Source organism: Homo sapiens, chromosome 13, assembly GCF_000001405.40.
Source record: "Homo sapiens chromosome 13, GRCh38.p14 Primary Assembly".
NCBI lineage: Eukaryota > Metazoa > Chordata > Mammalia > Primates > Hominidae > Homo > Homo sapiens.
Window position 1 is genome coordinate 113,372,927 of NC_000013.11, and position 22,000 is coordinate 113,394,926.

Consider the following 22,000-nt stretch of genomic DNA (forward strand, 5'->3'; position numbering starts at 1 on the left):
TATTTTCTGACTATCACTGATTCGGGGGTTCTGCGGAAATAGTGTTTATGAGCAGGGATTAAAGAAAGAGTGTGAAAACAGGTAGGAAGCCATCTCTCCCCACTGGAAATGCACACAGCACACATGTAGCTCTGAAATTGCCCACAGGGACAGCCAGGCGGGGTTATAGGAAAACAGTAAGAGTGATTTTGGAGCTGAGACAGTTCTCAGGGAGAAATGACCTGTGGACATACACTGCCTCCTAGGGTTCATGTCCAGTGACAGTGAGGAAGGCACCAGGCGCTGTGCTGGGCTGGAGCTCCCGGCAGGGCCAGGCTTCCAGCATCACTGAAGACTGTCACAGAAGGGATAAAACCGCTCACAAGCCACCCTGCAAGACAGCACTCCCTGGACGGCTTCCTCCCCAGAATTCTTGGAGATGGGGTTTCTTTACAAACCCAGAATGCTGCTCAGACCCCCTGACCCTGGGGTGGGTGCAGGAGGGCCCAGTGAGGCCTGAATCCTCCTGGCCCTCCCTGGCTCTTCTCCCTCTGAGATAGGGAGCGGGGGAGGGAGAAGAGACCCACAACCAGCTTGGCTGGGCGCGGTGGCTTATGCCTGAAATCCCAGCACTTTGGGAGGCCAAAGCAGGCGGATCACCTGAGATCAGGAGTTCAAGACCAGCCTGACCAACGTGGAGCAACCCTGTCTCTACTAAAAATACGAAATTAGCCTGACGTGGTGGCACATGCCTGTAATCCCAGCTACTCGGGAGGCTGAGGCAGGAGAACTCAGGAGGCAGAGGTTGCGTGAGCTGAGATCGCGCCATCGCGCTCCAGCCTGGGCAACAAGAGAGAAATTACATCTCAAAAAAAAAAAAGAAGAAGAAGAAGAAGCCACACTTTGCTTTGGCCGCATTCTTGGCTGGCCTCCACTCAGCCTTGGCAGCAAATGTTTGTCGCAGAGGAACCCTGGTGGGATTTGCTGTGGGACCCAGCAGATGAGATGTGGGTGCCCACCTGTGCTTCAGTCGCTCCTGTGTGAGGACGGGGCAGACCTGGAGCCGCATCCTCCAAGTTCATGTGCCACGTAAGAGAAGGTCGGGGTGGGGGGGGGCGGTGCTGGAAGCCCCTGGAGGGGACAGCACTGGAGTCCCAGGACGGCAGCTTCACACTCGTACAGGCGCCTTGTGGTCCCTTACCGGCTGTTTTCTCTTTGGCGCCAGGACTGACTGATTTAATCACACCATGGCGGATTGATCCCCGGAGAGATGAGGCTGGGGACTCTTGCCTGATGGCTGACCTGAGGATCTGACTCCTGGGCACTCCATGGGCATCTCCAGCTTGATACACACCCACCCGCAGGCACCCCAGAGCCACCGCCAGCGTCCCAGAAGGTCCAGGGAGGGGCCTGCTACCCCTGCAGCCCTCAGGCCTGAGCACAGAGCATCTCTGGGGGCTGTCTGTCTTCCTGCTGCCTCTCTGGACTGAATGTGGACTCTGGCAACAGCTCCGTCTTCCTCATCTCTGAGTCCCCAGTTCCCAGGACAGTTCCAGTTATTCATTGTGTGACAAATCGCCCCAGAGTTGTGGTTGGAACAAGAGCCCTCCTCTCTTTGTGCCCTTCCAGGGTTCCGGGTGGCCTGGGCACCTCCAGGTGGTCCTCAGGGTCTCGCCATCATGGTCACACCCCTGGGGCCAAGGGGTATCTGAGGGCTGGTCATGACCCACCTGGGGTCAGTGGTGGCTGTCAGCTGTCACTCAGCTGTGCCATCACTGGGTCACCCACCCACGCTTGTCTGCAACGCCTACACACTGCCTGGAGGCTGGGCTTGGAGAGCTGGTGTGCTAGATGGACAAGAGGAAACTGTGTCACCATGTTGCTTCTGCCAAGTCACAGCCACCCAGAGTCAGGAGCAGAAACACAGACCCCTCTCCTCCATAGAGGAGCCAGTCACAGCCTACGAGGAGTGGGGCTGCCATGAGCACTTTGGAAAATAGGACCTGCGACTCCTAAACACAGCAGGTGCTCACCCAGGGCCTGCTGGATTCACAGGCGAATGTGAGGAAAAGAAGAGCTGGGGTTTGTGTGATGTCATCCTCCATGACGTGCTCAGAAAGTTCTGATGCATCTGATGGGGACTGATGGGGACTCATGGGAACTGACAGAGACTGATGGGGCTGATGGGTCTGATGGGGATGATGGAGTCTGATGGGGACTAATGGGGTGTGATGGGGTCTGATGGGGTCTGATGGGGACTCATGGGGTCTGCTGGGGACTGATGGAGTCTGATGGGGACTGATGGGGACTAATGGGGTGCGATGGGGTCTGATGGGGACTCATGGGGTCTGCTGGGGACTGATGGAGTCTGATGGGGACTGATGGGGACTAATGGGGTGCGATGGGGTCTGATGGGGACTCATGGGGTCTGCTGGGGACTGATGGAGTCTGATGGGGACTGACAGGAACTAATGGGGTGTGATGGGGTCTGATGGGGACTCATGGGGTCTGCTGGGGACTGATGGAGTCTGATGGGGACTGACAGGAACTAATGGGGTGTGATGGGGTCTGATGGGGACTCATGGGGTCTGCTGGGGACTGATGGAGTCTGATGGGGACTGACAGGGACTAATGGGGTGTGATGGGGTCTGATGGGGACTCATGGGGTCTGCTGGGGACTGATGGAGTCTGATGGGGACTGACAGGAACTAATGGGGTGTGATGGGGTCTGATGGGGACTCATGGGGTCTGCTGGGGACTGATGGAGTCTGATGGGGACTGACAGGGACTAATGGGGTGTGATGGGGTCTGATGGGGACTCATGGGGTCTGCTGGGGACTGATGGAGTCTGATGGGGACTGACGGGGACTAATGGGGTGTGATGGAGTCTGGTGGGGACTGATGGGGTCTGTTGGGGTCTGATGGAGTCTGATGGGGACTGATGGGGTCTGATGGGGACTGACGGGGACTAATGGGGTGTGATGGGGTCTGATGGGGACTCATGGGGTCTGCTGGGGACTGATGGAATCTGATGGGGACTGACGGGGACTAATGGGGTGTGATGGAGTCTGGTGGGGACTGATGGGGTCTGTTGGGGTCTGATGGAGTCTGATGGGGACTGATGGGGTCTGATGGGGATGACGGGGTCTGGTGGTGACTGAAGGAGTCTGATGGGGACTCATGGGGACTCATGGGGTCTGCTGGGGACTGATGGAGTCTGATGGGTCTGATGGGGTCTGATGAGGGTGATGGGGTCTGATGGGGACTGATTGGGACTAATGGGGTGTGATGGCATCTGGTGGTGACTGATGGGGTCTGTTGGGGTCTGATGGAGTCTGATGGGGATGAAGGGGTCCGATGGGGACTAATGGGGTGTGATGGGGATGATCGGCACTGGTGGGCTGGCCCATGGGCTGCGGCCACATTTCCATGCTGAAGAGCCTGATGTGGTCTGATTTATTTTTTTAAAAAGTATTTCCCCAGTTATTCTGTAGCTTGCTGTCTGACAAGAGTGGAGGCAGGGGCCAGTGAGAAGGGTTAGAGAGGACAGTGGCCTGGAGGAGGAGCAGATGGAGAGGAGGGGTCGCCTCTGGATTCTTTGCTGAGGTGGGTGCAGCAGGAGCTGCTTCTGGGGTGGATTCGTCCAGATTTGTTAATTGCCTTCATTCTTCTCTACTTCATCTGCCTCAGGAAAGAAGGGAGTACGCATCTGGAAGGCTTAATTCAGACTATTTTTACTGTTGAAAAATAATGACATTGTCTAGGTTAGAATTTAGGAGCAGTAATATAAAGATTCGTGAGATGAAAGTTGTACGTCCAGAGAAACCTACTTACACCTGGAATAGCGTTACTGGATTTAGCAAATAAAAATGCAAATACAGGACACCCAGAGTGAGACATACTTTTACTAATATAGAGGAAGAAGTCAAAGCAAAACAAAACACTTCCTCTAATCTATTGCTTGAGGGACCTGGGAATTCCTTGGACCTGGGAATCAACGTGATCAGGCAGATTAACAAGAGAAAAAGACAATTTTAATTATGTAAGTATTCACAGTGGCTGGCCAAAAAAAAAAAAAAGTGGCCGAAGCAGGTGGCCAGAATCTTTCCCCTGATCCAGGAGAGAATTCACTGGGTCTGGTGCCTTCTTAAGTCTGAAAAGAAAGATTTGCAATCTATTGTCTCTGAAGCCTGATACCTGGAGGCTTCATCTGCATAATAAGAACCTTGGTCTCCACAAGCTCTTTTTTTTTTTTTTTTTTTTTGAGACAGAGTCTCGCTCTGTCGCCCCAGGCTGGAGTACAGTGGCTCAATCTCCGCTCGCTGCAAGCTCCACCTCCCGGGTTCACGCCATTCTCCTGCCTCAGCCTCCTCAGTAGCTGGGACTACAGGTGCCCGCCACCATGCCCGGCTAATTTTTTGTATTTTTAGTAGAGACGGGGTTTCACCGTGTTAGCCAGGATGGTCTCCATCTCCTGACCTCGTGATCCGCCTGCCTCGGCCTCCCAAAGTGCTGGGATTACAGGCGTGAGCCACCGCGCCCGGCCATGCTCTTATCTTAACCCAGACACACCTCTTTGTATTGATTCCAGGTCTTTTTTTTTTTTTTTTTTTTTTCTGAGATGGAGTCTCACTCTGTCGCCAGGCCGGAATGCAGTGGCGTGATCTCGGCTCACTGCAACCTCTGCCTCCTGGGTTCAAGCGATTCTCCTGCCTCAGCCTCCCGAGTAGCTGGGATTACAGGCGTGCACCACCAGGCCCAGCTAATTTTTGTATTTTTAGTAGAGACAGGGTTTCACCATGTTGGCCAGGCTGGTCTGGATTTCCTGACCTCGTGATCTGCCCCCCTCGGCCTCCCAAAGTGCTGGGATTACAGGTGTGAGCCACTGCGCCCGGCCAATTCCTGGCCTTTAGATAAACTCTTTCAAACGACTGACAATCTGAAAATCACCTATGACCTGAAGCCCACCCCCGCGTCCTTCAAGTTGTCCCGCCTTTCCAGACCGCAGTGTTCACCTTACATGTATTGAATGATGTCTCCTGTCTCCCTAAAATGTAGAAAACCACGCTGTAGCCTGTGTCCTCAGGATCTCCTGAGGCTGCGTCAGGGTTCAGGCTAGACAACGGATAAGGGGGTTTGGGCTTTTGGAGGGCAGGTAAGAAACGGGAAGGTGACCAGGAAGTGTGTAGTGAACAAGGTTGTTTAGTAAATGTGTTACGTAGGCCAGGCACAGTAGCTCACACCTGTGATCTGTGAAAGGAAATTAAATCTTGAGACCCCAAACTCATTTAGCCAAAGGAAAAAGTCAAGTTGGGGACTGGATCATGCAAACTTGCCTCCCCTTTTGGTTTCTAAATAAGATGGCTGCAAGATGAGAAGCTCCATACCTCCCTAATATTTTGCCCACAAGGAAATTTTTACTGAGCTCCGAGATCTTTACTCTAAGGTGTTTCCATAAAGATTTCACTATGGCAATGTAAACTGATTCCTCATCTTTACAGGTGCAGTCACCCATGGCCCATCAGACACAAATGCATACCCAATTGTTTCCCTGCCCCATTTTGTCTGTGTGATCTTATGTAAAAATACAGATTCACTGAGGCAGACAGAGGCATGAATGACTCTTTTCCCCTACCCTCTTCTTTTTTTTTTTTGAGACAGTCCCGCTCTGTCACGTAGGCTGGACAGCAGTGGCACGATCTCTGCTCACTGCAAGCTCTGCCTCCCAGGTTCACGCCATTCTACTGCCTCAGCCTCCCGAGTAGCTGGGACTACAGGTGCCCACCACCACGCCTGGCTAATTTTTTGTATTTTTAATAGAGACGGGGTTTTGCTGTGTTAGCCAGGATGGTCTCGATCTCCTGACCTTGTGATCTGCCCACCTCGGCCTCCCAAAGTGCTGGGATTACAGGCATGAGAGCCACCGCGTCCGGCAAACTTGTGCTGATTCATCAGGGACCACCCCAAACAGAATGATGGCGTTTTGCTCCTACCTGGGCGTGTTTGTGTGTGCCCAAGTCTGTGTTTGTGTCGGAAAGCTGATGTCAAGGTCAAACACATGATCAATGTTCCAAGCAGGGCACAGGCAGGGCCTGGCTGGTCAGCGCCATTTCTGTCAATCAATGTTCCAAGCAGGGCACGGGCAGGGCCTGGCTGGTCAGCGCCATTTCTGTCAATCAATGTTCCAAGCAGGGCACAGGCAGGGCCTGGCTGGTCAGTGCCATTTCTGTCATCACAGTTTCCATCTTCCACTGGAGTTTTCATGTCAAGAGTTCCTCAGCGTTTCTCACTATGAAAATGTCCCAACCCTGCAATTCCATGGTGACGTGCAGGCCAGTGGACGTCTCAGGGGACCCCACGTGCGCTTCCAGGAAGAAGTTGGAGCAGTTTTGGCTCTATCCTCCAGCAGCCGACTCTAGGCTTCTGAGAATTTCAGCTTCTTTGGCTGTCGGGGGCATTTTCTTTCTCTTCCATTTGGCTTTTTCTTAGGAGGCAAAACAGTTTTAGGCCAGGTACGGTGGCTCACGCCTGTAATCCCAGCACTTTGGGAGGCAGAGGCGGGCGGATCACCTGAGGTCAGGAGTTAAAGACCAGCCTGGCCAACATGGTGAAACCCCATCTCTACTAAAAATACAAACATTAGCCAGGCGTGGTGGTGGGTGCCTATAATTCCAGCTACTCGGGAGGCTGAGGCCAGAGAATCACTTGAACCTGGGAGGCAGAGGTTGCAGTGAGCCGAGATCGTGCCACTGCACTCCAGCCTGGGAGACAAGAGCGGAACTCCGTCTCAAAAAAAAAAAAAAAAAAAAAAGGGACGCAAAATAGCTTCTTCTGTACAATCTCTGGGACAAATATGTCAAAAAAAAGTTCCACCAAACAAGGTGAGAAGCTTGATTGTTTGTTTTGGAATAATCTACAAGCATCCTGAGATTTTCTCCAATCCCTCGGTGGCAGGGGATCAGCAAAAACTGAAGTTTGTGGTGCAAAAGTGTGTAAAGCTAGTTACACGCACATTCCCAGGTCCTTCAGGTAGGGCCAAAGCAAATTGTTCAAAATGACCCCAAGGAGCCAAATCAATTAAAAATATGCAATTATTATTTGTACATTAAAAATAAAATTTAATAAAATAATATAAGTATGAAAAACTATGCTCATAGCCACAGATTTGTTTGCGGGAGCCACTTAGGAAAGAATAATTAAACAAGCGGCCCAGAGAGGCGTAAGTCCAGGAGGAGGGTGTTTATTTTTAGAGGCCGTTGACATTTATCAACAACCAGCTCCCGGCAGGTAGGAGCCGCCCCTCACCGCCTGGAGCTGCAGCCTTCAGCTGTGGAGGGAGTGGATGCTGGCTGACCCCTCCCTGCCTCCTGCGGTGGTTCCCCTTCACTCAGCAGGCGTCTCCTCCCTGTCCGTCAGAGATAGGCCCGCATGCTGTCCCCTTCCCCTTTTTAACGTTTGGCAATATCTATATAACATAAAATTGACCATCTTAACCATTTGAAGCTTGCAGTTCAGCGGCATGAAGTGCAGCCAACACCACTGTCCTCTCCAGAACTTTCCATCCTCCCGAAGTGAACTCTGGACCCACTGATCACACACTCCCCACTCCCTTCCCCAGCACCTAGCACCCACCTTCTCATTTATGTCTCAGTGGATTTCACTCCTCTGAGGACCGTGCTAAGGAAAGAAAAGAACTTGCATCTGAGGAAGGCAAATCCTTTCCAATGATCAGGCCCAGAGAAACATTAAAATAGGACTGGGTTAGAGGCGTTTGAACCAGAGCAACACCATCCTGAATGGGAGTTGGGTAAAAGGCTGAGACCTTCTGGACTGCATTCCCAGGAGGTTAGACATTCCAAGTCACAGGATGACATAGGAGGTCAGCACAAGATACAGGTCATAAAGACAGGTTGCAGTAAAGAAGCCGGCTAAACCCTGGCCGGGCGTGGTGGCTCACACCTGTAATCCCAGCACTTTGGGAGGCTGAGGCGGGCGGATCACGAGGTCAGGAGATCGAGACCATCCTGGCTAACACAGTGAAACCCTGTCTCTACTAAAAATACAAAAAAATTAGCCAGGCGTGGTGGCGGGCGCCTGTAGTCCCAGCTACTCGGGAGGCAGACGCAGGAGAATTGCTTGAACCCGGGAGGCGGAGCTTGCAGTGAGCCGAGATCGCGCCACTGTGCCACTGCACTCCAGCCTGGGTGACAGAGCGAAACTCTGTCTCAGAAAAAAAAAAAAAAAAAAAAAAAAAGAAGCTGGCCAAACCCACCAAAACCAAACTGGCGACAAGAGTGACCTCTGGTGACCACAAACCTGACCTCTGGTGACCACAAACCTGACCTCTGATGGTCGGCACTGCTACACTCCCACCAGCTCCGTGACAGTTTACAGATGCCATGGCAACGTCAGGAAGTTGCCCTATATGGTCTAAAAAGGGAGCATGAATAATCCACCCCTTGTTTAGCATATCATCAAGACATCACCATAAAAATGGGCAACCAACCAGCAGCCCTCAGCTGCTCTGCCTATGGAGCAGCCATTCTTTATTTCTTTACTTTCTTTTTTTTTTTTTGAGACAGAGTCTCACTCTGTCACCCAGACAAGAGTGCAGTGGCTCAATCTCAGCTCACTGCAACCTCCACCTCCCAGGTTGAAGCGATTCTCCTGCCTCAGCTTCCCAAGTAGCTGGGACTACAAGCACCCACGACCATGCCCGGCTAATTTTTGTATTTTTAGTACAGATGGGGTTTCACCATATTGGCCAGGCTGGTCTTAAACTCCTGACCTTGTGATCCGCCCACTTCAGCCTCCCAAAGTGCTGGGATTGCAGGCGTGAGCCACCGCGCCCTCCCCTTCGTGTCATTCTTATTTATGCCTCTGCATCCTCATGTTTTAGCTCCCACTTATGAGTGAGAACGTATCATGTTTGGTTTTCCATTCCTGAGTTACTTCACTTAGAATAAGAGTCTCCAATCTCATCCAGGTTGCTGTGAATGCCATTAATTCATTTCTTTCTTTCTTTCTTTCTTTTTTTGAGATGGAGTCTCGCTCTGTCACCAGGCTGGAGTGCAATGGCTCAATCTTGGCTTGCTGCAACCTCTGCCTCCCGGGTTCAAGCGATTCTCCTGCCTCAGCCTCCCAAGTAGCTGGGATTACGGGCACGCACCACCACTCCCAGCTAATTTTTGTATGTTTAGTAGTGACGGGGTTTTCCCATGTTGGCCGGGATGGTCTGGATCTCCTGACCTCGTGATCTGCCCGCCTTGGCCTCCCAAAGTGCTGGGATTACAGGCTTGAGCCACCGTGCCCGGCCAATTCATTTCTTTTTATAGCTGAGTAGTATTCCATCATATATATATATATCACAGTTTCTTTATCCACTCGTTAGTTGATGGGCACATTTGGGCTGGTTCCACATTTTGCAATTGCAAATTGTGCTGCTCTAAACAGGCATGTGCAAGTATCTTTTTTGTATAATGACTTCTTTTCCTCTGGGTAGATACCCAGTAGTCGGATTGCTGGACCAAACAGTTGTTCTACTTTTAGTTCTTTAAGGCATCTCCACACTGTTTTCCATAATGGTTGTGCTAGTTTAGATTCCCACCAGCAGTATAGAAGTGTTCCCTGTTCACCGCATCCATACCAACTTCTATCACTTTTTGATGTTTTGATTATGGCCATTCTTGCAGGAGTAAGGTGGTATTGCATTGTGGTTTTGATTTGCATTCCCCTGATCATTAGTGATGTTGAGCATTTTTCCATATATTTGTTGGCCATTTGTATATCTTCTTTTGAGACTTGTCTATTCATGTCCTTAGCCCACTTTTTGATGGAATTGTTTTTTTTTTTTCTTGCTAATTTGTTTGAGTTTGTTGTAGATTCTGGATGTTAGTCAGATGTATAGATTGTGAAGATTTTCTCCTACTCTGTCAGTTGTTTGTTTACTCTGCTGACTGTTCCTTTTTTTTTTTTTTTTTGAGACGGAGTTTCGTTCTTGTTGCCCAGGCTGGAGTGCAATGGCACAATCTCAGCTCACCGCAACCTCCACCTCCTAGGTTCAAGCAATTCTCCTGCCTCAGCCTTCCAAGTAGCTGGGATTACAGGCATGCACCACCACATCCAGCTCATTTTGTATTTTCTTTTAATGAGAGATGGGGTTTCTCCATGTTGGTCAGGCTGGTCTCAAACTCCCGACCTCAGGTGATCTGCCCGCCTCGGCCTCCCAAAGTGCTGCGATTACAGGCGTGAGCCACTGCGCCCGGCCCTCTGATTGTTCCTTTTGCTGTGCAAAAGCTCTTTAATTAACTCCCAGCTATTCATGGTTGTTTTTATTGCATTTGCTTTTAGGTTCTTGGTCATGAAATCCTTGCCCAAGCCAATGTTTAGAAGGGGTTTTCCAATGTTATCTTTCTCACTTTTTATAGTTTCGGGTCTTAGATTTAAGTCCTTGATCCATCTGGAGTTGATTTGTGTATAAAATGAGAGATAAGGATCCAGTTTCATTCTCCTCCTTGTGGCTTGCCAATTATCCCAGCACCGTTTGTTGAATAGGGTGTCCTTTCCTCACTGTATGTTTTTGTTTGCTTTGTTGAAGATCAGTTGGCTGTAAGTATTCGGGTTTATTTCTGGGTTCTCTATTGCGTTCCATTGGTCTATGTGCCTACTTTTGTACCAGTACCGTGTTGTTTTGGTGACTACGGCCTCACATTATAGTTTGAAATCAGGTAATGTGATACCTCCAGATTTGTTCTTTTTGCTTAGTCTTGCTTTGGCTATGAGGGCCCTTTTTTGGTTCCACATGAATTTTAGGATTGTTTTTCTAATTCTTTGAAGAATGATGGTGCTATTTTGATGGGAATTGCGTTGAATTTGTAGACTGCTTTTGGCACTATGGTCATTTTAACAATATTGATTCTACCCAACGATGAGCATGGGATGTGTTTCCATTTGTTTGTGTTATCTATGATTTGTTTCAGTAGTGTTTTGTAGTTTTCCATGTAGAGGTCTTTCACCTTCTTGGTTAGGTATATTCCTAAGTTGTTTTTTTTTGTTTTTTTTTGCAGCTATTGTAAAAGAGGTTGAGTTCTTGATTTGATTCTCTGCTTGGTCACTGTTGGTGTATAGAAGAGCTACTGATTTGTGTACATTAATTTTGTATCTGGAAACTTTGCTGAATTCTTTTATCAGTTCTAGGAGCTCTCTAGAGGAGTCTTTAGGGTTTTCTAGGTAACAATCATATCATCAGCAAACAGTGACAGTTTGACTTCGTCTTTACTGATTTGGATGCCCTTTCTTTCTTTCTCTTATCTGATTGCTCTGGCTAGGACTTCCAGTACTATGTTGAAGAGGAGTGGACATCCTTGTCTTGTTTCAGTTCTCAGAGGGAATGCTTTCGACTTTTCCCCATTCAGTATTATGTTGGCTGTGGGTGTGTCATAGATGGCTTTTATTACATTGAGGTATGTCCCTTGTATGCTGATTTTGCTGAGAGTTTTAATCATAAAGGGATGCTGAATTTTGTTGAATGCTTTTTCTGCATCTATTGAGATGATCATGTGATTTTTGTTTTTAATTCTGTTTATGTGGTGTATCACATTTATTGACCTGCGTAGGTTTTTTGTTTGTTTGTTTTAGACAGAGTTTCACTCTTGTCGCCCAGGCTGGAGTGCAATGGCACGATCTTGGCTCACCACAACCTCCGCCTCCTGGGTTCAAGTGATTCTCCTGCCTCAGCCTCCCAAGTAGCTGGGACTACAGGCATGTGCCGCCACGCCTAGCTAATTTTTGTATTTTTTTTTCGTAGAGATGGGGTTTCACCATCTTGGTCAGGCTGGTTTCGAATTCCTGACCTCATGATCCACCCACCTCGGCCTCCCAAAGCACTGGTATTACAGGTGTGAGCCACCATGCCCAATGACCTGCATATGTTAAACCATCCCTGCATCCCTGGTATGAAACCCATTTGATCATGATGGATTAACTTTTCGATATGTTGTTAGATTTGCTTAGCTAGTGTTTTGTTAAGGATTTTAGCATCTATGTTCATCAGGGATATTGGTCTGTAGTTTTCTTTTTTGGTTATGTCCTTTCCTGATTTTGGTATTAGGGTGATACCAGCTTTATAGAATGATTTAGGGAGGGTTCCCTCTTTCTCTATCTTGTGTAATAGTGTCAATAGGATTGGTACCAATTCTTCTTTGAATGGTAGAATTCTGCCGTGAATCCATCTGGTCCTGGACTTTTTTTTTGTTGGTAATTTTTAAATTACCATTTCAATCTCGCTGCTTGTTACTGGTCTGTTTGTGGTATCTAGTTCTTCCTGATTTAAGCTAGGAGAGTTGTATTTTTCCAGGAATTTATCCATATTCTCTAGGTTTTCTAGTTTATGTGCATAAAGGTGTTCACAGTAGCCTTGAATGATCTTTTGTATTTCTGTGGTGTCAGTTGTAATATCTCTCGTTTTGTTTCTAATTGATCTTATTTGGATTTTCTCTTTTCTTTTCTTGGTTAATCTTGCTAATGGTCTATCAATTCTATCTTTTCAAAGAACCAGCTTTTTATTTATCTTTTCTATTTTTTTTTTTGTTTCAATTTCATTTAGTTCTGCTCTGATCTCAGTTATTTCCTTTCTTCTGCTGGGTTTGGGTTTGGTTTGTTCTTGTTTCTCTAGTTCCTTGAGGCGTGACCTTAGATTGTCTGTTTGTGCTCTTTCAGACTTTTTGATGTAGGCGTTTAGGGCTTTGAACTTTCCTCTTAGCACCGCCTTTGCTGTATCCTAGAGGTTTTGATAGGTTGTGTCACTATCGTCGTTCAGTTCGGAGAATTTTTTTTTTTTTTCTTGAAACGGGGTCTCGCCCTGTCGCCCAGGCTGGCATGCAATGACGTGATCTCGGCAACCTCCGCCTCCTGGGTTCAAGTGATTCTCCTGCTCAGCCTCCTGAGTAGCTGGGATTACAGGCACCCACCACCACACCTGGCTAATTTTTGTATTTTTAGTAGAGACAGGGTTTCACCATGTTGGTCGGGCTGGTCTCAAACTCCTGACTTCATGATCCACCCACCTCGGCCTCCCAAAGTGCTGGGATTATAGGCATGAGCCACTGTGCCTGGCCAGAGAATGTTTTGATTTTCATCTTGATTTCATTTTTGACTCAATGATCATTCAGGAGCAGGTTATTTAATTTCCATGTATTTGCATGGTGTTGAAGGTTCCTTTTGGAATTGATTTCCAGTTTTATTCCACTGTGGTCTGAGAGAGTGCTTGATATAATTTCAATTTTCTTAAATTTATTGAGGCTCATTTTGTGGCCTATCGTATGGTCTACCTCGAAGAAAGTTCCATGTACTGTTGAATAGAATGTATATTCTGTGGTTGGTGGGTAGAATGTTCTGTATATATCTGTTAAGTCCACTTGTTCCAGGGTATAGTTTAAATGTGTTAAATTGTTTCTTTGTCGACTTTCTGTCTTGATGATCTGTCTAGTGCTGTCAGTGCAGTATTGAGGTCCCCCACTATTATTGTGTTGCTGTGTATCTCATTTCTTTGGTCTATTAGTCCTGGTTTTATGAACTTGGGAGCTCCAGTGTTAAGTGCATATATATTTAGGACTGTGATATTTTCCTGTTGGACAAGGCCTTTTATCATTATATAATTTCCCTCTTTCTGTTTTTTAACTGCTGTTGCTTTAAAGTTTGTTTTGTCTGAGATAACAATAACTACTCCTGCTCCCTATTGGTGTCCATCTGCATGGAATGTCTTTTCCACCCCTTTACCTTAAGTTTATGTGAGTCCTTACATGTTAGGTGAGTCTCTTGAGGCAGCAGATAGTTGGTTGGTGAGTTCTTATCCATTCTGCAATTCTGTATCTTTTAAGTGGAGCATTTAGACCATTTACATTTAATGTTAGTATTGAGATGTGAGGTACCATTCCATTCATCATGCTATTTGTTGCTTGTATAGCTTGGGGTTTTTTTTTTATGGTATTTCTGTTTTATAAGTGCTGTGAGATTTATGCTTTAAAGAGATTCTGTTTTGATGTGTTTCCAGGATCTGTCTCAAGACTTACAGCTCCTTTTAGTAGTTCTTATAGTGGTGGTGTGGTAATGACAAATTCTCTCAGCATTTGTTTGTCTGAAAAAGGCCTATCTTTCCTTTATTTAGGAAGCTTAGTTTCACTGGGTAAAAAATTCTTTTGCTGATAATTGTTTTGTTTGAGGAGGCTGAAGATGGGCTCCCAATCCCTTCTTGCTTTTAGGGTTTCTGCTGAGAAATCTGCTGTTAGTCTCATAGATTTTCCTTTATAGGTTACGTGGTGCTTTTTTCTCACAGCTCTTAAGATTCTTTTCTTCGTCTTAACTTTAGATAACCTGATAATGTGCCTAGGTGATGACCTATTTGCAATGAATTTCTCAGGTGTTCTTTGAGCTTCTTGTGTTTGGATGTCTAGGTCTCTAGCAAGGCTGGGGAGTTTTCCTCGATTATTCCACCAAATATATTTTCCAAACTTTTAGATTTCTCTTATTCCTCAGGAACACCAATTATTCTTAGGTTTGTTCAAGATGGCCTAGCAAACTGGTCAGTTATAAACTATGCTGTAGGTCCCTGAAAAAAACTGGATGAGATTTCCTTACTGCCTTGTATGTCCTTGGGAGCTGGATCTTGTAACCATGTGGTTGTGCTTTCTCTTTTCACAGCGGTGCCTTGGGTTCAGGGTCCAATTCCTGGCTTAGGGAATGAGTCCTTTATCTTCTGTCTGTATTTATATGTGTTATGAGTGTGATGTTTATATATGAAAGAGCTTTGATTAATTGGTTTAATAACAGTAAGACCTTAAATCAGATATTTTATCAGAAAATTTAAAAGTATAATGCCTTTTAGTTCATGTGACTTAAGTAATTTTTGGGAAATAAAGGCAGCTTTAAAGATTATTGGTAAAATAAAAATATCTTCAAAAATGTAAACATTTGGTCTAAATCATGCAGGTCAGATTTTAAGCTTGCTAAATGCTTTAAGGTCATAAACTGCTTCTTTGACTTTTGAAAACCGTTCAGTTCACCTACCTTGGAGCATTAGATTGTAGATTAGGCTAGGGGCCCTAATGCAACAATGACATTTGGCTTATTTGGTACAAGAATCTTTTTTTTTTTTTTTTTTTTTTGAGACAGAGTGTCACTCTGTCACCCAGGCTGGAATGCAGCAGCACAATCTTGGCTCACTGCAACCTCTGCCTCCCGGGTTCAAGCAATTCTCCTGCCTCAGTCTCCTGAGTAGCTGGGACTACAGGCTCATGCCACCATGCCCGGCTAATTTTGTATTTTTGGTAGAGACAGGGTTTCAGCATGTTGGTCAGGCTGGTCTTGAACTCCTGACCTCAGGCAATCCACCCACCTCAGCCTCCCAAAGTGCTGGGATTACAGGCATGATCCACCACACCTGGCTTGGTACAAGAATCTTACAGGAAGCATTGTCAAATATAAAATGGTATTTGGTTTTCTTTGGGCTGTATTTGTATATATAAATGTGTTATTGGTATGTGTTCCAAAATTACTTTTAAAACTCCTATAATTCTCACATGATTTAGTGTATGTTATTAATAGATATAATTGTTATGTAAAATTTTGTATGCCACAGAAGTAATCAAATTTCCTTATCAGTTGTGGCTTTAATGATGGCTGTCCGAAGATGTTTTGTCATCCACAAACAATGGTTGTCTTGTTTTGGTCCTCTTTAGAAGGTGGTTTATAATCAGCTACAGGACTTTGACAGATGTTCTTGAGTGCAGGTTTCCGATAACTGGTGATGGTGACATCAGAATAGAGGAAAAAACTTTTAGAATTCTTATGGAGAGCTGAAATGTCCATGAATATCAAACAGAAGTTAACTACATGGACTAAACTAATAGAAACCAGAAGTAATCTTTTTAACTTTTTGCTTAAAATATTGCTGATCCTTTGTTTTGTTTTTCAGAATCAAGGAAACTTTTGAGCGAGTTATAGCTTTTAACAATTGAATAAGTATACTTGTATGAATAAAATTTGGAGCATATTTGTTTCTCTCTACCTAATTTCTCCAAAATTTGGGAACTAGTTGTGAGTATTCTTAATTTATGGCAATATAGCTATTTGCATAAGTGCAATAAGAATCTGTTTTCTTTTTTTTTTTTTTTTTTGAGACAGAGTCTTGCTCTGTTGCCCAGGCTGGAGTGCAATGGTATGATCTCGGCTCACTGCAACCTCCGCCTCCCAGGTTCAAGCAATTCTCCTGTCTCTGCCTCCCAAGTAGCTGGGATTACAGGTGCCAGCCACCACACCTGGCTAATTTTTGTATTTGTAGTAGAGATGAGGTTTCACCATGTTGGCCAGGCTGGTCTTGAACTCTTGACCTCAGGTGGTCTGCCTGCCTCGGCCTCCCAAAGCGCTGGGATTACAGGTGTGAGCCACTGTGCCTGGCCAGGAATCTGTTTTCTTTTGCAACAGGACACAATTGGAGAAACTGCTTATTTTACCAAGGATTTGACTAGAATGATGTGTTTTCCTTTAAGAAATTAAACGTGACTTATAGAGCTGATAAAGCCCCTTGGGAAAACTGACCTGATACGTTCTCTCCACAGTCCTTATACAGAGTTCCTGACCCGTGGTAAGTAAAGAATGTCACTTTATGCTGGGTGCGGTGGCTCATGCCTGTAATCCCAGCACTTTGAGAGGCTGAGGCGGGTGGATCATGAGGTCAGGAGATTGAGACCATCTTGGCTAAGATGGTGAAACCCTGTCTCTACTAAAAATACAAAAAATTAGCGGGGCATGGTGGCGGGCACCTGTAGTCCCACCTATTCAGGAGGCTGAGGCAGGAGAATGGCATGAACCCGGGGGGGCGGAGCTTGCAGTGAGCAGAGATCATGCCACTGCACTCCAGCCTGGGCAACAGAGCGAGATTCGGTCTCAAAAAAAAAAAAAGTCACTTTCTCACAGGCCCAGGAGCCCCAAGTTATCTTGGAAACTCAAGAGGAGAGAAATTTACTCAACTTACAGGTATTTGAGGGTACAAACCCATGGCGGGGCTCAGTTCTAAAAGAGTCTTAGCTAAGATTCCTTCTACGGAACAGAGTTCCATCAAAGCCAATTTAAAAAGAACCTATGTGAAAAATATTCTTGCTGCCCTTTATACAAATAATCAGGCCAAGTATAATAAAGTAAATCAGTCTTACCATGATTTGCCTTTAGTAAAAATGGGAAACTAGAGAGAGAAATATTATGTTTCAGGAACTGTGGTATGTTGTTTTTAAATTCTAGTCTCATCAGTTGTTTTTAGATTTGCTTCTGGAATTTAGGCTAACCTTGCTTATTCCTGTGAACCAACCAGTGAACTCTGACTGCTGCTCAGAAGAAATAAGAGGGATGGGTAATGTAAAAATCTGAATCAATATTCTAATTCTGGGCACACTAGAATTGGCTAGCAACCTCACATCATCTTGGTTCCAATAGTTGCCCAGTTCATGAAAAGCCTTCTAATTTAGTTTACTTGGAATAATTGTACTTATTTTGCTTTACTATTGTGGAATATATTGTTGTTGTACTCTGTGTAGGTATGCAAAATAAACTTGCTCAATGTTTTCTTAAACTGAACACTTATTAATTGCCCAGATATCACCTTTTGTTGGAACTTAAGAGTTATGAATAGCCCTCACCACACTGATGCCTTCTGACTGTGCTCCTCTCTACCCTGAACACAAGGGACCCTAATAGTTAGGCAGGAATGTCATCGCCCCTATTCAGCCTGAAGAAGTTACAGAAGATGGATCTTCATCCCCCTGCAACTCTTAGGATTAAGGGTTCTCTTATAAAAGGGAAAGAGAAAATGTCAGGCATGTTTGAACCAGAGCAACTCCATCTTGAGTAGGAGCTGGGTAAAATGAGGCTGAGACCTATTGGACGGCATTCCCAGGAAGTGAGACATTCTAAGTCACAGGATGAGATAGGAGATTGGCACAAGATATAGATCATAAAGACCTTGCTGATAAGACAGGTTGCAGCAAAGAAGCCGGCCAAACCCACCAAAACCAAAATGGCCACAAGAGTGACCTCTGGTCATCCTCACTGCTACACTCCCACCAGCTCCGTGACAGTTTACAGATGCCATGGCAACGTCAGGAAGTTACCCTATATGGTCTAAAAAGGGGAGCATGAATAATCCACCCCTTGTTTAGCATATCATCAAGAAATCACCATAAAAATGGGCAACCAGCAGCCCTCAGCTGCTCGCCTATGGAGTAGCCATTCTTTATTTCTTTATTTTCTTAATAAACTGGTTTCACTTGTCTCTATGGACTCGCTCTGAATTCTTTCTTGCGCGAGATCCAAGAACGCCCTCTGGGGGTCTGGATCGGGACCCCTGTCTGGTAACAACTGCAGATATCTCCCTCCAACACATTGAGCTGTGTGTTGATGTCTTGGAACTTGCTAGCTGTGAATTAACCTAACAATGCCATCCCCCACCCTGCAACCCACACCCTGCAGCTCAACGGTGCACAGCCCATCACTAATCAATGTTATTTCTGTCAACCAACAAGAATTCCTGAAAAACAACTTTGTATCAGCCACTCCCTGTTCCCCTTTTTGCCTTTAAAATCCTGATTGTAATAAAGGCCTAATGGGGCTCATATCCAAGGCCACTCGAGTCTCCCAGGCAGCTGTCCTCACCTTGGCTCAAGTCAACTCTTTAAATCATAATTTGCACCTCAGCCTCTTCCTTCTTGTCACCCTTACGTAAGTGGGATCCCACAGAATTTGTCCTTCTGTGTCTGGCTAATTTCACTCAGCATGGTGTCCTCAAGCTTCACCCAAGTTCCAGGGTAGGGAGGTTTTCATACAATTTTGTAGCCCGCGTAACCTCTCTACTGTGGGAGGTGCTCCGAAAGTGAATTTGGTTGACTCTCTTTCCTCCTTGAGCTTTTCTTGGACACATTTCTGGCTTGGTGGGCCAAAGTCTGCTAAGAAGAAACTCATCTCTGTCCATCAAAGGGGGAAATGGTGAGGGCTGTATGCCCTGGGAGCGGCCACCCTCTCAGAAGACACAGAAACAGAGCACTTTAACCTCCTTCTATCAAAGTCCTAGAAGAGGAAGGTGTGCTTTAAAAACAGACTCTTCTCATGAATCCTGTTGAAGTCTCACTCACTCTGTTGCCTAGGCCGGTGTGCAGTGGCACCATCTCAGCTCACTGCCAGCTTTGCCTTCTGGGTTCAAGCAATTCTCCTGTCTCAGCCTCCCAAGTAGCTGGGACCACAAGTGCCTGCCACCATGCCCAGCTAACTTTTTGTAGAGATGGGGTTTTGCCATGTTGGCCAGGCTGGTTTTGAACTTTTGAGCTCAAGCGATCCACTCGCCTCAGCCTCCCAAAGTGCTGGGATTACAGGTGTGAGCTACCGCGCCCGGCCTTTTTTTTTCTTTCTTTTTTCTTTTATTAAGACAGGGTCTTGCTCTGTTGCCCAGACTGGAGTGCAGTGGTACAATCTTGGCTCACTGCAGCCTCAACCTCCTGGGCGCAACTCATCCTCCTGCCTTAGCCTCCCAAAATGCTGGGATTACAGGCATGAGCCTCCGTGCCTGGCAGTGGGATCCTCTTTACCTGAACTGCCCAGGGACCTCCATAAGTATCCCTGGCTGGGGGCCGTGGGTCACGCCTGTAATCTCAGCACTTTGGGAGGCTAAGGTAGGAGGATTGCTTGAGCCCAGGAGTTCAAGACCAGCCTGGACAACATAGCAAGACCCTGTCTCTACAAAAAAATACAAAAATTAGTGCATACCTGTGATCCCAGCTACTCAGGAGGCTGAGGCGGGAGAATTGCTTGAGCCCAGGAGGTTGAGGCTGCAGTGAGCCATGATTGCACCACTGCACTCCAGTCTGGGCGATAAAGTGAAACCCCGACTCTTAAAAAAAACGGGCTGGGCACGGTGGCTCACGCCTGCAATCCCAGAACTTTGGGACGCTGAGGCCGGCGGATCACCTGAGGTCAGGAGTTCGAGACCAGCCTGACCAACATGGAGAAAACTCCATCTCTGCTGAAAAAAAAAAATTAGCCAGGTGTGGTGGCACATGCCTATAATCCCAGCTACTCGGGAGGCTGAGGCAGGAGAATCGCTTGAACCTGGGAGGTGGAGGTTGCAGTGAGCCGAGATCGCGCCATTGCGCTCCAGCCTGGGCAATAAGAGTGAAGCTTGGTCTCAAAAAAAAAAAAAAGTATCCCTGGCACCTTCTCACAGACAGAACAGGGAAAAGGAGGGGCGGTTTACATCCCTGTGGAGCACAGCAAACCCACACAATGAGCCTTTCAGGTGTGGGGGGCAGGAGCAGGGCGGGGGCTGTCTCCCAGGGACCATCAGTCGGTTGGCTCAGGGGCTCAGGAGCCCAGGCCCGATGCCAGGAAGCTTCTCACCCCTAAGGAGAGGACACGCAGTCAGTCCGACTGGCAAAGTGGCCGGATCAGCGCCTGGCTGTGCCACCCCACATGGAGTGCCACACGCGGTCACAACAGCCCCATGACGTAGGTCCCAGTATTACTATTTTAGGGAAGACTGTGGTACACGCACCCGGACACACAGTTGCACATATGGCCACACAGGCCTCCACCTCTACTACCCAGACAAGTGCCCCAGTGCGCATCACACATGCACATGGGTGTGTACACAGCCTGCCCAGACACAGCCCTCCACAACACAGGGACCCACCCATGCACACACGCGTGTGCACACACACCAAGCAGACACGGCCCCTACACAACACAGGGACCCACCCATGCACACACGCGTGTGCACACACACCAAGCAGACACAGCCCTCCACAACACAGGGACCCACACATGTACACACTAAGGAAATGTGGAAACACTACGTGACCTCCGGTGGCAAGGCCATGGCTGGAAGCCCTGCAGCCTCTCCGGCTTCCAGGTCCTGATGCCAAGGCTGCCCCTCCCAGAATCCACGAGGAGGTCACCGTCCCCGCTCCGCACCAGGGAGGGGCTCCAGAAGCCCGGAGGCCAGCGCCGAGGTCCCCGCACGTACGCCTGTGTCCCCGGCTCTGGGGAAGGCAACCGTCCCTTAGGGGGCCGGGAACCTGCGCGCCGCCCCGACTCCCGCCCACCCCGGCGGCTCCCGGCGGCTCCCGGCGGCGTCCGGATGTGGCAGCAGCTCGCGGGCCGGGGCTTCCTCTTGCAGCAGCCGCCGCCCGGGAGGCCGGCAGCGCCCCCTGGCGGACTCAGGCAGGAGGCGTCCGGCGAGGCGGGCGCGGGGTAGGCGGGCGCGGGACGGTGCAGCCCGAGGCCTGTCCCTGCAGGTGCAGGAGGGACCCGTCGCTCCCCTGCGCACCGAGGGGGCGACAACCCCTCCCAGAGACCTGCTGCCCGCGGAGCCTCCCCCAGTGACTCGTGCGGTCCCCAAAGGAGAGGCGGGAAGCCGAGTCCTGGAGAAGCCTGGAGACAATGGGCAACAGGGGCATTGGGCCTCCGTCCAGCCCCCGCCAGCGCCCCAGGGTCACACATAGGCCTTTATTTTCTGATCCTGAAAGTGATGCAAGTGCATTTAAATTAACGCAGAAAGCAGTGACAGATAACGACGGGAAAACACACCTACACATCGGGTGTTCGTGGATAACCACTGCTCACCTTTTTTCGCGTTTCTCTTTCTTTGCCCCCTTCACACGTATTTACATATTTGAATCTACTATTTTATACTGGATTTTTTTTTTCTTTTTGAGGTGTAGCTTCACTCTTGTTGCCCAGGCTGGAGTGCAATGGCGCCATCTCGGCTCACTGTAACCTCTGCCTCCTGGGTTCAAGCGATTCTCCTGCCTCAGCCTCCTGAGTAGCTGGGATTACAGGCGTCCGCCGCCACCATGTCCAGCTAATTTCTGTATTTTTAGTAGAGATGGGGTTTCCCCATGTTGGCCGGGCTGATCTCGAACTCCTGACCTCAGGTGATCCACCCTCCTTGGCCTCCCAAAGTGCTGGGATTACAGGCATGAGCCAC

At 47.7% G+C, this 22,000-nt stretch overlaps 1 long non-coding RNA gene across 1 annotated transcript, besides 6 other annotated features; it reads right to left on the minus strand.

Annotated features, from left to right (window-relative positions):
• Positions 239 to 1,219: an enhancer, noted in NCBI's record as "H3K27ac-H3K4me1 hESC enhancer chr13:114027480-114028460 (GRCh37/hg19 assembly coordinates)". NCBI's record gives its function as "activates a minimal SCP1, AML or CMV promoter by ChIP-STARR-seq in naive H9 embryonic stem cells {active_cell/tissue: H9 hESC(naive)}" and the evidence as "EXISTENCE:reporter gene assay evidence [ECO:0000049][PMID:30033119]".
• Positions 3,419 to 6,535, minus strand: LOC124903218 (uncharacterized). The gene is made up of 2 exons (XR_007063881.1): positions 5,973 to 6,535; positions 3,419 to 3,716 (listed from the first exon to the last, which is right to left on the minus strand). It is a non-coding gene; the product is annotated as an uncharacterized LOC124903218 (long non-coding RNA).
• Positions 5,728 to 6,712: an enhancer, noted in NCBI's record as "H3K4me1 hESC enhancer chr13:114032969-114033953 (GRCh37/hg19 assembly coordinates)". NCBI's record gives its function as "activates a minimal SCP1, AML or CMV promoter by ChIP-STARR-seq in naive H9 embryonic stem cells {active_cell/tissue: H9 hESC(naive)}" and the evidence as "EXISTENCE:reporter gene assay evidence [ECO:0000049][PMID:30033119]".
• Positions 20,537 to 21,078: an enhancer, noted in NCBI's record as "H3K4me1 hESC enhancer chr13:114047778-114048319 (GRCh37/hg19 assembly coordinates)". NCBI's record gives its function as "activates a minimal SCP1, AML or CMV promoter by ChIP-STARR-seq in naive and primed H9 embryonic stem cells {active_cell/tissue: H9 hESC(naive and primed)}" and the evidence as "EXISTENCE:reporter gene assay evidence [ECO:0000049][PMID:30033119]".
• Positions 20,537 to 21,345: a biological region, named in NCBI's record as "H3K4me1 hESC enhancer GRCh37_chr13:114047778-114048319".
• Positions 20,996 to 21,345: a silencer, noted in NCBI's record as "silent region_5545". NCBI's record gives its function as "represses an Ori minimal core promoter by ATAC-STARR-seq in GM12878 lymphoblastoid cells {active_cell/tissue: GM12878}" and the evidence as "EXISTENCE:reporter gene assay evidence [ECO:0000049][PMID:35858748]".
• Positions 21,356 to 21,465: a silencer, noted in NCBI's record as "silent region_5546". NCBI's record gives its function as "represses an Ori minimal core promoter by ATAC-STARR-seq in GM12878 lymphoblastoid cells {active_cell/tissue: GM12878}" and the evidence as "EXISTENCE:reporter gene assay evidence [ECO:0000049][PMID:35858748]".